Raw genomic sequence first — 13,327 nt, forward strand, 5'->3', positions numbered from 1 at the left:
TGGTGTCTTTTGTCTTCGCAGGGACTTCAGTACTAGTGCTAATAACATCCAGATTGATAAAACCAAGCCTTTGTGGCACAACTATTTCTTATGTGGACTTAAAGGAATTCAGGTAAATTGGTTTATAAGGCACTTACTACCAGTTGAGATTATCATGTGTATTCTGTCAGATTTATTTTATTTACTACATCTTTTTCATCTCCTTACAGTACTAACCGATGCTTCTGTTCTATTTTGCTAGTTTGTGTTTCAGAGAGTGGGGAAGATATGACTGTTTTGGGGTGGTGTTCACAGGGGGCAGTAGTGGTTTTTATACAGCTGGCTGTTCATAAATAGGTGCATCTGACAAACATCTGTCTGGTTTTAAAATCTTTGTTTAAACATACTTTTGAGGATATGTTTTAATACTATTATTTACATTTATACTTGGGATGTATAGGGGTATACTGTAATAGGATTTAGAGTCAGCCCAGGTTTGAATCTGGGCTCTTCTCAGCTGTGGTAATTTAACCTCTTAAGTCTCAGATTTATCCATAAAATGATGTCATTGCTATCCTGACAAAGAGTTGTTAAAAGAATTACATAAAGCTTGATGGTAGCCATTTAATAAATGGTAGCTAGTATTGTTATTGCTACTTCAGATGGGATTAAAAAAAGATATAATGAAATGTATTAGTATAAGTATTTTCCAAGAAACATTGAATAATTACTTTGAAAATCTCTAATGTTACATACAAGAACAAGAAAATAAAATGTTTTCACTCTCATAATTGAAAAAGTATCAAGGACCAAAAGAAAATTGATATTTGCTGTTTTTAGAGCCACTTTTATATTGCAATAATTATTTTAGATGTAGTGACTTGCATAGAATCATAGTAGGACAATAAGAAGTAAATTTTGCCTTTGTGAGCTAAAAGTAAACAAACAAACTGACCCATGTTTTAGAGAGCTTGTGTTCCTTACTGCCTGGCAGTCCTATCTGAAACTTTGTAATGAGCAGCTAGGACTTAGTGGCACATCCATTACAGAAATACATCAAATTTATTTCTAATGTGTAGTCCTATACTGTAACAGTGGTGGTTTTTGTTCTTAAAGTTAATGAATTCATTTCTTTCTTTCTTTTGTGTTTTCCTTTCTCTCAGACACATGGTAATAACTTACAGGAAAAGTTATTGGCAGGTTTTAAATCTTCAAATCATCTGGCTTATCATATGCATTAGTGGGAATTACAGTATTTGGAAGCATTTGCCTGGCAAATGCAATTTTAATCTTCCTTGTAACAACATGCCTTTTTGCAGCATATGGGTAAAGTGGCCTAAATAATGCATGTTGCTTTGTGTTATTTTTGAGCATTTCAGGTTTTAAAGCCTTCCTGTTTGGTTTGACAATTTATGTGCAAAAGCAAACTTATACAATGAACTTTTGGCAGAAAGGTAATTTAAATGCTAGCCTGTTCAGAAACTTTCAAATTCAAATACTAGAAAGTTTCAGAGAATAATTCACTTATATTACATTGAACATGTTATCCTTTTGGCATAGAGCTATTACAGAATGTGGCATATACCCATTTGCATTTTGAATTTGTTATACATTTTCATTTAAACATTGCATAATACGTTGTTTTTTGTTTTTGTTTTTTTGTTTTTGTTTTTGTTTTTGTTTTTTGAGACGGAGTCTTGCTCTGTCGCCCAGGCTGGAGTGTAGTGGCGTGATCTCGGCTCACTGCAACCTCTGCCCCCGGGGTTCAAGCGATTCTCCTGCCTCACCCTCCTTAGTAGCTGGGATTACAGGTGCCTGCCACCGCGCCTGGCTAATTTTTGTATTTTTAGTAGAGACGGGGTTTCACTATATTGGCCAGGCTGGTCTTGAACTCCTGACTTCGTGACCCACCCGCCTCGGCCTCCCAAAGTGCTGGGATTGCAGGTGTGAGCCACTGCGCCCGGCTGATAAGTTCTTAAGTGTGATTCCCACTCAAGACACCTGTGTTTGATCAGTTTATATTAAATATATTGTATTCTTCAATTTTTTTTTTTAAACAAGCTGTCTGATATTCTGTATGAAAGGGCATTGGCAACAGTAGAGTTTCAGTTTATAGTTTGTTTGTATATCTGGAAGGAAATTTTTAGATGACTTGAAATCAGGAAGAGAAGTACACCCAGCTAAATTTCTTCTTATTGTGGTGCGAGAATTTTGCTAGCTAGGACAGACAGACAAAAAATTAAGGAAAAAGGTCTTTTATTTGCAGAATTTTGTTGTTATTTTAGTTATTCTAGCTAGCTGATTGAAATTCTCCCTTGTATAATAGGTATGATGAAATGCATAATTAGGTAATAGTATTTCATATGTTAATCTTCAGTCATTTGAGTAATTTGCAAAGACTATGGTACTTTTTCTTGAGAAGGAGGTAGACTTGAATTTATTTGTAAACTTAAACCACAAAGGTTATGATATGATATCATCCAAAGTGTCCTAGTGTTAGAAAGTAATGTAAGTATACTAGAGCTTTCCATATTTAAATCAGAATCTGATTATTTCTTTGGGCTTTCCTATTTGTAGAAATAGAGTTTCCTCAACTTGTTTAGGGTCTGTATTCTCATTTGTGGCTGAATTCTAATTTGACTATCTTTAAAGCTACCATATGGCTAAACTGTATCTATAAACTGTAGTAAGCATCTGGATTTTCTCATGTAGCTGGCATATTAAATCACAATGACGGTTTGCTGGCTCAGGTTTCTAACTGCAGTGGAAAAGTTTTCAAACAGGATTCAGAGACCTGGGCCCTACTCTCGTCTCCCTATGTGTCATCTTGGGAAAGTTTCTTCATCTCTTGGTGCCTAGGTTTTTTCATAAGTAAAACAGAACTGAGAATGTTTGGAACTCCTTTTTTTCAGAGAACCTTCTAAAGTAAGGCACTCCTTAGAAACAAGTCACTGCTTGGGGGCTGGACTTTTATAATAACAGAATGCTGGAGTTGTGCTGCATGGAGATTTAAATTACCTCACAGATAATTGTATATTTCTTGTCCTGCTACTTGACAAATTGGATTATAATTGTTTTATATTTTTTCCATATTTGTTCAAATCAATTAATACTCAAGAAAAAGAACATTCAAGGCAATTTTATATTTTTTCCATATTCAAATCAATTAATATTCAAGAAAAAGAACATTCAAGGCAAGAAAATTAAAGGCATTTAAGGGAATTACTCTGTGGCTAAGAGTCATTAAATAAAATGTCACATATAGTCTCAACTAAATTGAATTGCATAAGTAGTTTCTATAACTATTATAAGTCTATTGATAGACTTTTGTTCTCTGGGGAATGAAAGAAGCTTTCACTACTCCTTGAATTCAATACTGAATTACTGTTGCTGTTTTTCCTTATATTCTTAGGAACACTTTGGTCTTAGTAACCTGACTGGAATGAACTGCCTGGTAGATGGAAATATCCCACCAAGTTCTGGCCTCTCCAGCTCCAGTGCTTTGGTCTGTTGTGCTGGCTTGGTGACGCTCACAGTGCTGGGAAGGAATCTATCCAAGGTAACTACCTTTGATAGGAAACCTCATAGAACCCTCTCCTAATAATCATTAGCATCCAAATCTCAAATCAGAATGCCTTCCTTGATTGAAAAACTGTCTTCTCTAAAAGGACTGCACATGTGGGCAAGCATTGTAACTTAACAAGTGATAAATCACTATAAAGTAGCTTATACCCTCCAAACAGTGAGTGAATAGATCTGTGAATAACTGTATAAAAATACATTGTATTAAATATGGGATTTGAATGTATGGATATCATTTTAGATCACCTCATTCACAAGTTAAATTTAGGGCAAGAAATTCTTCCTCTCATGGTTGAGCCTGCTTATTTTCACCCAAAACCTTAAATTAAAAATTTGACAAGTAGTGGGTTACAAGGGTAAAGACTAGGTAATAAAGGAACTGAATATGCCAGCAGATTAGTCACAGAAATAAACTTTAAAATATTGCATTACAAGACGAAATGCTTATTTAAAGGAAATATAAATTGTACAAGAGGTCAGAAAGCCTCAAGTTTATAAGTTCACATAAATCTCTGACTCTGCAGTTTAGAGCAGGTGTGCTCAGCTTTAATTAATGCTTTAGCATTCTGGTTCAAATAAAATGTTATCATAGGTTCTTTTTACCCCATGTACATATACTACCAGGTTTACGGATGGTTTGGACAGATCAAGAGAAAGGCAGCCACATGCTTAGTCTCTTTTAAGCATGTTTAAACTTTCAGTTTGAAAATTTTATGTATAGGAGGAAGGCAGAAATGAAGGAGAAAGCAAAGGTTCAGACAGAATCCTTCTTTTTAGCTGTCCTGTGTAAGTGTACATTAATTAGCCCTTAGTGAGCAATGACTGGTTGGGAGGGAAAGGGGGCTTACATATTATTATTATTTTTTGAGAAGAGAAGAAGCAAGGGACAGGAAGTCCATGTGTAAAATGTGTTTCCCCTGGTACAATTTTCAATCTGATTTGTTTATTTATTCATTTGTTTGTTCATCATTCAACCATTATTTATTTAATGGCTATTTTGTGCCAGATAATGTTCAAGGCATTGGAGATATAATAAGTATAGTCTCAACTTTCACTATGCTTATAGTCTAAAAGGGAAAAGAGACAAGTAAATAGGCAACTGCAATAGAATATAGTAAGTGGATAAGTAGTTTTCTATGGGAGCAGATATAACCCAGATTTAGAGAGCATAGGACATCTAAATGGAGACAACAAAGATTAAAGGAGTTGTAGATATTGATGGCATGATAACACTGATGACATCAGATAAGCATGTATTGGGTGGAGAGAACATCATGTGGAAATGTCCAGAGTAAAAGCAATCATGGCTTGTTGGAGTAACAAAAAAAATGTCTCAATATGGTTGAAGCATACAGCAATTTGGATAACAGAGCAGGAGATCAGTTGCTGGGCCTTGTAAACTTTGTTAAGGAATTTAGGTATCATCTTCATAGCAGTGGGAAACCATTGCAGGGTTTTAGGAAGAGGTAAGGTGATCATATCTGTATTTTAGAAAGATCTCCCTGGCTATATTACAAAGTCTGCATTTCAGGGTTTTAGCAGTAGGGAGGTGATTTGGTTTAGAGTAGTGGCAATGAGAATGGTTAGAATTAGATAGATTCAAGATCTCAGAATCAGTAGGACTTGGTCATTGATTGGGCATGGGAATGGGGAACAGCAAAGACTCAAAGATTATATCGGTGTCTGGCTGGTATGATTCATTGGAATAAGAGATATGGGGGAAAAATAGGTTTGAGTGGAAGCTGAAATGTTGAGTGTGAGGAATCTGTGGGCATACTGATGGAGTTATTTAGTATTTAGTTATGAAAAAAATATGAAGGTCAGGAGGAGATCTGGACTTGAGATGGTACATTTGAGAATCATTAGTTTATCATTGTTTTTGAAGCCATAGGAGTGGATCAAGATACCTGGTGTTGGAATATAGGTGGAAAGATAAGGAAAACTAGGACAGAGCCCCAAGAAACATGAACATTTGAGGAATGGGCATAGGAAGGGATGTCCACTGAAGGGATTGAGGAGTAGTCCAGTAAGTATGAGAAAAACCAGAAAGGTGAGGCAACAGCAAAGACAAGGAAGATAATGTTTCATGAAAGGAGTGGTAGTGTTGTCATATGCTTCTGAGAGGTTACCACAAGTTCTGAGAAGTATCCATTGAATATCACAACAAAGAAGTTGTACAAAACTTTGACAAGAGCAGTTTTAGATGGAAATGGGTTGAAGGGTCTATAAGGGGTAAGAAAGTGGTAAAGTTCAGTGGATACAAAAAGTCTGGTGATGCATAGAAAAAGATAATTTGGTATTTGGAGGAGGGTGTGAAGTCAAGGAATTCATTTCACTTTTAATGGGAGGATTGGTGAAACTTAGTTTTTCTATTTTTCTGGTGTTTTGATAATATACCTATCTAAGAAATAGGAAGGAAAGAAGATAAAGAGAAACACTTGAACCCTTAGAATTAATTCTGATTGTCTGTTTTCAAAGTCGGAAATAGCAAATACATTTTTTTATCGGAACTATCTTACTGCAGTGCCTAAGCAAAAAGGGAACAATATGTATATCCTGGCTTTCTCAGCTAGTCTAAGTTGTACTAACAATATTTACATTTTCTAAGGACTGAGCATAATTATTTGGAGAGTTTTTTTTTTTCTGGAGTGAGACAGAATCTTGAATGAAAGGAAGTCTGTAATTTGTTCAGTCTTTAATTTAAATGCCATGTGATTTTACTCTTGTAAAAATCACAGAATATAAGAATTCAAGGGACTTTAGAGATGAGCTAGTTCAAAATGCTCCTTTTACTGATGTATTAGTGTTACCATAGGAAACAAATGACATGTTAGGTATAACTGAAGAGAGTTTAATAAAGAGACTTTTACAGAGATGTGGGTAAGGTCAAGGGAACTAACTAGGAAGGGTTCTCTTGTGAAGCTGGAAGCCATTGTACTTTAGGAGCTGTGGATATAGAGTAATGTTGCCAGAAATGCAGCAAGGCAGAGAAAGAATGACACAGGTGAAAATGGCAATGAGTGGGAATAGTTGAGGGGAATTTACCATAGAGGTCAGCCTTTTGGGGTAGGGGAAGTGTGAGAATAGAGGAACAGAGGGACAACCGAAAATAACTAGCCTGTTTGATAAGGACACTAAGTCCCACAACAGATTGGTGACTAAAGCCTTTCCTATTATTTCATATCCAGTAAACCCCATTCAGTTGCAGACAACAATTACTGCAGATGGGATATAATAAGTAGATGTGGAACTTGTTAATTCATTAATATACTAAATGTTGCATATCTGAAACCAGAAAACAATATGGCTAATCACCCAGAGAATCTGGAAGCCAGAAATTATGAATCAGAATGTTACTGGTACAAGAGAGTATGATGTGGCAAAAGATCTATGAAAAAGGAAAATCTAGAGACTTCTGATTTCAGCATGTCAGAATAAGACTTACCTACTCTTTTTCTGTGTCCCTAAATTAATCTTCTTTTCTCAAAAATCATTTCCAAACAACAGGGAAAATAAGAAAAGGAAGCACAAGCTTTATCTTTGGTAAGCCAAGGAGACATAAATAACCATAAACCACAAAATACAAAGATGGAAAGTGGATAGAGGAATGTTACATGACTTAGGCGAATGGAGAAAGGTCAGAGCCAAGTGCCTGCGGAGGGAGTTGCAGATGGAAAGGCAGCTGACTCATCCCACAGCTCTCTGGCAAGGCTTAGGAAGAAAGCAGGGTAATATGGTGGGTGGGGATTTATCTGAAAGCCTTTGTGAGGACTATTTAGACCCTAAAAGGCCTCTCTTCACCTGGACCATTTCCCCCTATCTTTGCAGGAGTCTCTGGAGAAACAACCAGAGATCATTTGTACTTGGGGACACTGAGCACTGAGAAAGGCAGGACGAGAAAGACTTGAAAACTGGGAGATTAGAGGACATTCTGCATCTGAAAAATGAAATTCTTAGCTCCATTCTTCTGGTCATTACTGGCACACTGGCAACCTCACCACCCTACACTCCAGCAGGAATGTTGGAGGATCCTTCTCAAAGGAAACTTAACCATCCCAGAGATGGTTCATACAGATACTGACATTTGGTGACCCCCTTCTCCAGCTCCTCTATGACCTTGTTAGAAGCCCATTTACAAAGCTTCTAATAAGCTTTTTAGTGACTCACTCTTAAATATGATAGGGCATCAAAGTATAGTAAGATTTTGGAAGAAAACCTACAAAATGAACCAAACAAACAAAAAAAACAGAGAAAACAGGAAACTAGAGGAAACAGAGACAATGCTGAGAGCAGAAGAATCAAAGACATGATGTCCTCAGAGAGATAAAAGAAAATGTTAAGTCCTTGAAAAATAATAGTGTTACTTTTTTAAAAAAGGAACCAACGGTAAGATAGAGCTTTTGCATATTAAAAATATGACAAGACAAAATTTAGCAAAAAGATTGGAAACAGCTGGGCATGGTGGCTCATGCCTGCAATCTCAGCAGTTTGGGAGGCTAAGGCAGGAGGATCGCTTGAGGCCAGGAGTTCAAGACCAGCCTGGGCAACACAGTGAGACCTTGTCTCAAAAAAAGAGAACAGACTGGAAGAACTCTCTGATATAGTAGGGAATAAAAGAGCTGGACAATAAGAGAGAAAAACAGGAAAATTTATGGATCAATTCCAGAAATCCATCCAACTAGTAAGGAAAAACAGAAAAAACAGTTATTAGAAATTATTATTATTATTAAAAATAGAGTTGGGGCCTCTCTATGTTGCCCAGGCTGGTCTCAAACTCCTGACCTCAAGTGATCCTCCCTCATCAGCCTCTCAAAGCTCTGGGATTATAGGTGTGAGCCACTGTGTCTGTCCAGAAGATTTTTTTTTTAAAATAATATTTCTCCAAAGTGAAAATGTGAATTTGGATTGGAAGGGCTCACTGGGTGTTTGGTATAATAAATGTAAAAGGCCAAACCAAAGAATATCATCTGGAAATTTTGAAACTTGAGTGTTATAGAAAAGACACTAAAAGCTAGTTGACAGAGCAAGAGAAAAGAACGGAAAGAAATCATAATCAAAGGATCAGAAATGTAAATTAATTTCTCAAAAACAGTATTGGAAGATAAAGGCAGTTGATAAATGTCTCTAAAATATTAATAAATTTTAGTTTAGGCTATCTGTTTAAATGAATTAATCAAATGTGAGGGTATAGTAAAACATTTTCAACATGTAAAGTGTAAAAGTCTAGAGGATGTAATCCACCAAAACTAGGGAGTAAACCAAGAAAGAAGATCGCATGGGAACTAGGAAATGAGAAATCCAATATATGAGAGAGGAGTTGGGTATTTATAGAACATTGGTATTTGTAGAACATAAGGGGAATTCCAACATAACACCCATAATATCCAGCAGCTTAGAAAGCAGTGCAGATTAAAATGAGGAGAGGGAAAGATGGAACTTATAATCTTATCAGTAAAACAAAAAAAAAGCCAAAAAAACTGGTTAATCTGATATGTTCAACCATGTGGAAAATGGATTCAGAGTAATTTCACAGAGCTGTTGTAGGATATGACAAAGCTCAGCTAGATATACAAATCTAAGCAAATGAAGAAATGGGGCAATTATTAAATATAGGAAAAACAAAAAAGTTTGTAACAGAAATGAAATCAACCATTTTTTTTTGCTCATAAGTGAACAATAATCTCAGTAATTAACACAACAAATATGAATTTAAGCAAAATTTTGGGCATAACTTTATTGAGAAAGGTGGAGGAGGGTAAAGGAAAGGTGGATGTAAGAGAGCTAAAATCCTCACTTATCATAATAGGAAAGCAATAAATAATGTTTAAAATGAAACAACAGGCAATAACATTTACCAATGTTATTTGGAATTGGAAGCAAAAGCAAAGAGCCAAAAGTATTTGCCGTTGTACACATTGCATTGGGGATAGGGATGACAGAGTGAGCTAGGGGCTGCCTTTGTTGTTGTTATAAGCCTTTTACCTCTATTTAATCTTTTAGATTATATGCAAATATCACTTTGGCGAAAGTAAAATAAAAGATAGAAGAACTGAATAGAATGAAAAATAAGAATGGAAATAGAATGAAAAGTAAGATGACCTGTATGACCACACCTGGGGGAACCTGAAAGATGAAGAGATGAGAAGGGATTCAATGAGTCAAGGCTAGAGATTGAGAACAGATGAGCTGTTGGAATGTGACCAAATCAATGGCCTAGGGTGAGGTCTGTTGATGGGTTTTGGGTGGAAGAATCCAAGAAAATACAGGCATCTTCCATTTAGTGGCAGTAGTCCATTCCAACAAATCAGATGTTCTGCACAAAATTATTCAGCGAGGGCCTATTTTTTTAAAATAGGAAAAAGTATAATGCATTATTCCTCAACTCAAAACCTCTAACTAATTTCCTACAATGTTACAAAAATACAGTAAAGCTTTCTTTATATAAGTCACACAGAAGTAGCATGAAAAATGTTTAAACCAATTTTCTTGAACATTAAACAATTAATATGGTTGTTAACAAGCAGTTACTTTATATAGTGATACCGGTATGTCTTCTGTATTGACACCTGGTATTTCAGTACTCTGCATACTATTTTGTTAACAATGTTGTGTTTAGGTTTTAGGGTGTAAATATGTATGTTTTCCTATATAAACACCTTTCAGAAAGTGTTGTTTTGAGAGATATGAACATTCTATGAAGTTTGGGTATCAAAAATCTTTCGCCAAGAAAATGTTAGTTGCTGAGGTGTTCTACAAGATATGCCTGTATTTTGTAAGAATGGGATTTGGGTTGCTCTGATGTCCAGTTTCTGTCTGTTCTTGGAGTTGTCCTTGGAGGCCAAGAAGAAAGGACCAAGTGCCTCTTAGGAATCTTAGAATAGAAATAGCTGGCCTACTTGGGAAACAGGTTGCAACTCTAAAAGCTAGTCTTGGGTAGTAAGGTGTGTTAGACTAGCATCTATCCACAAATTCCTCCCTCTGCTGGTGTGGGGTTGGGAGTAGATTTTGAATTCATGAGGTTGTAGACTGAGCAGGTGATATTCAGAAAACCCACTTTGGAGGATCTGGGAGGTACAGTAGAGAAGTATAGGGTTGAGCTGCATCCCCCATACTGAAGTCTAAGGAAGAGAAAACCCATATTATCTTGGTTGATGAAGACTGAAAGAGCCAGCTGGGAATAGTGGGGTAGGGGAGAATTCTTGTATGTGGATATCTCTGGCATTTTGTCAAAAACACAATTTACATGATTCTGAGTTACCCAGAATATGAATTGGACATAAAACCTTCCTTTGAGAGTTATAGTTCACTGGGGAACCTGGGGAATCTCTTAGATGGCATCAAGAATCCTGTATTGGGAAGCCCAGAATAACATGTATAATACTGGATTTGTGAGGAGTGCTTTCAAGAGAAGAAGACAGATAAACTTCCTAACCTACCACTTGAAAGCAGTGATTCAGTGGCATTTGTTGAATACCTACTATATGCCATGCGTTGTTCTAGGCACTGGAAATACAACTGTGAATAAAACCAGTGAAGTGCCCCTGCTTTTATGGAGTTTCCATATTGGCAGAAGTGATGGTATGAGAAAGATAATGAAGAGCTATACAAATAAATATATAATATCAGCTAGGCCGTAGTTAAGGGAAATTGTATATTTTATCTAGGGAGTTAGGAGAAGTTCTCTCCGAGAAGAGGACATTTGAACAGAGACCTTAGGGAGTGAGCAGCTGAGAAAGAGTGTCAGAGGGAACAGCAAGTGCAAAAGCCCTAAGGTGAAAGAGAGTTTGTCATGTCTCAGGAATAAGAGGTCCCTGTGGTTGGGGTGTGGTGAGACAGAAGCGGGGAGAGGTGGGAGGTGAGTTGAGAGAGTTGGTCAAGGGCCATGGTGTGTAGCATCTTCTTTGGCTTTCATTCTAAGCGTAATGGAAAACCTTTGGAGGGCTGTGAGCTGGGGATGGCAAGATGTGATTTACATGGATTAAGTTCTTTTACCTGGGAGTATTATACCATACCCCTGACAGTGGCAAGAGAGGAAACAATAAGAAAGAAAAGAGAAGAGAAAAAAGAAAAGAAGGAAGGAAGACAAATGGTCAATGCCCTTATGGAACTTAAATGCATATAGTGGAATAGTAACAGAAGATTTATTAACTGACCATCTATCTCATACAAAGTGTAAGGTATTTTATATGTAAATGAATAAAGAGGTTGAAATAATGTCTCCTTGGTGAAGTTAAACAGGGACAGTTTCAAGTAATTGGTGAGTTCTAAGAAAATGTTAAAGGAAGGAAAGGCTGGGAAACAAAGCACTGGGAGGGGCCCAAGGGCATTTCAGGCAGAGTGAACCCATAAGTGTATTTTAACAGTTCTCTGAGCCAGACTTAAAATATGTGTCAGCCAAGGCCTAGAAATTCTCTTGCAGCCTCATGAAATTCCTTTTAAAACTTTTTGACTACAGGGATGCTTTCTAGTTGCTTAAGTCCCTGAACAGATTTACTTAACTTCATTTCAGGGGCAAATTAGTTATATAGACAGGGGTTGATACTCTTTTCAGGGGAGTGTTTTTGAAGTTTGAAACCTGTTCTGTACTGGAGACCTCTAAGGTTCATAAACAGAGTAAGTGGAATGTTCAAAGTTCTGTGCCAAATATGTCCACATTTTCACTTTTCTGAGTTTACAAGTGCTGTTTCCTTGAGAAAGTACAAGGCTGTATTTTTCTTCACATATAGCTGCATTTCAGTGAAATATTTCTTGGCCTTCAGAATAAGACCTTGTGCCTAAAGAATAAAGACATGTCTATGTTATAAAATGAAAAGGATCTCAAAATTATATAAACTATGATTTGAATGTTTTAATAGTTTGTTACATGGTATAAGAAAAATCAGAAACCAATTTGCACTGTCACTAATTATTATGCTTAGAAGTCCACATAAGGACATTGTTTCAGTTTGCTTAGAATAACAAAACCTCATCCATATAATGGTTAAGGAAAATAGTAGTTTAAACCATTCCAGCCAGATGTTGAGTGCTAATGAACTGCAGCAGTATGGCCTCTGAAAAGATGGTAAATCCAGAATACAAGCTTTGAAAAGAATCTCTTAATTAGGTGTTGAACATGGACTGAAGCCATGTGCTCACTGGTACAAAAACCAGGAAGCTATAGTGTTAGCTCTGGGTGGCCTGTGTTTAAATGTGTTCTAAGTTTTAGGTTAATAATGTAAATACAAAACCATTCACGTAGTTTTGTCAATTAAAAGAGATCCTCTGGTTGTATCCTTTTTTAGGAGTAGGATTGGAGACTGAATCATTTCTTTAATGATTTTGAGTAGTTTGGATTCACTTGGGTGATGTGACACTAAGCTATTTGTCTTTGCAGACGTTGTTTGGGTCACTTCTGGGTTTTTTTTCCGTTTTCTTTCCTAGGCTAAATACTTGTTTACCTTTAGCGTAAACGAAGGCAAACAAGCATAATTAGGGAACAGCAGATTTGAGGAGTGTGTGTCACTGTTTGCAAGTGGTTTCAAATGAAACCACTGTTGCTACAAATTAATATGTATGCCTAGTTGTGTTTTGAACTTTTGTTGTGATCCTTAAATCGTTATTACTCAGTGACTGTGTTTCAAGGCCTCCAGATTTTGACTTGCACCCTACAATAAGTTAAGTGTTACACAGTATTCAAATAATTAACTGGAATAATGCAAGTGATATTAAGTACTACACATATGTGCATAGCCTTTACCTACTACATCAGTTGTGTGCATTGAACATA

The 13,327-nt window shown here is 36.4% G+C and overlaps 1 protein-coding gene across 18 annotated transcripts in view, besides 2 other annotated features; it reads left to right on the top strand.

Annotated features, from left to right (window-relative positions):
- GALK2 (galactokinase 2) overlaps positions 1 to 13,327 on the top strand; it is a 211,967-nt gene that overhangs the window by 80,056 nt on the left and 118,584 nt on the right. For all 18 annotated transcript variants that reach the window (NR_147895.2, NM_001001556.3, NM_001352048.2 and 15 more), the window contains 2 exons: positions 22 to 112; positions 3,392 to 3,538. Coding sequence is in view for 17 of the 18 variants with exons in the window: in NM_001001556.3 (NP_001001556.1) it covers positions 22 to 112; positions 3,392 to 3,538 (238 nt within the window). In the remaining variant the exon portion in view is untranslated. The remainder of the gene's footprint in view (positions 1 to 21; positions 113 to 3,391; positions 3,539 to 13,327) is intronic.
- Positions 7,063 to 7,357: a silencer, noted in NCBI's record as "tiled region #5673; HepG2 Repressive non-DNase unmatched - State 15:Elon". NCBI's record gives its function as "represses a minimal TATA promoter and a strong SV40 promoter by Sharpr-MPRA in HepG2 cells {active_cell/tissue: HepG2}" and the evidence as "EXISTENCE:reporter gene assay evidence [ECO:0000049][PMID:27701403]".
- Positions 7,063 to 7,357: an enhancer, noted in NCBI's record as "tiled region #5673; K562 Activating DNase matched - State 14:Gen5'". NCBI's record gives its function as "activates a minimal TATA promoter and a strong SV40 promoter by Sharpr-MPRA in K562 cells {active_cell/tissue: K562}" and the evidence as "EXISTENCE:reporter gene assay evidence [ECO:0000049][PMID:27701403]".

This window comes from Homo sapiens, chromosome 15 (genome assembly GCF_000001405.40).
Source record: "Homo sapiens chromosome 15, GRCh38.p14 Primary Assembly".
In the NCBI taxonomy this organism is placed as follows: domain Eukaryota; kingdom Metazoa; phylum Chordata; class Mammalia; order Primates; family Hominidae; genus Homo; species Homo sapiens.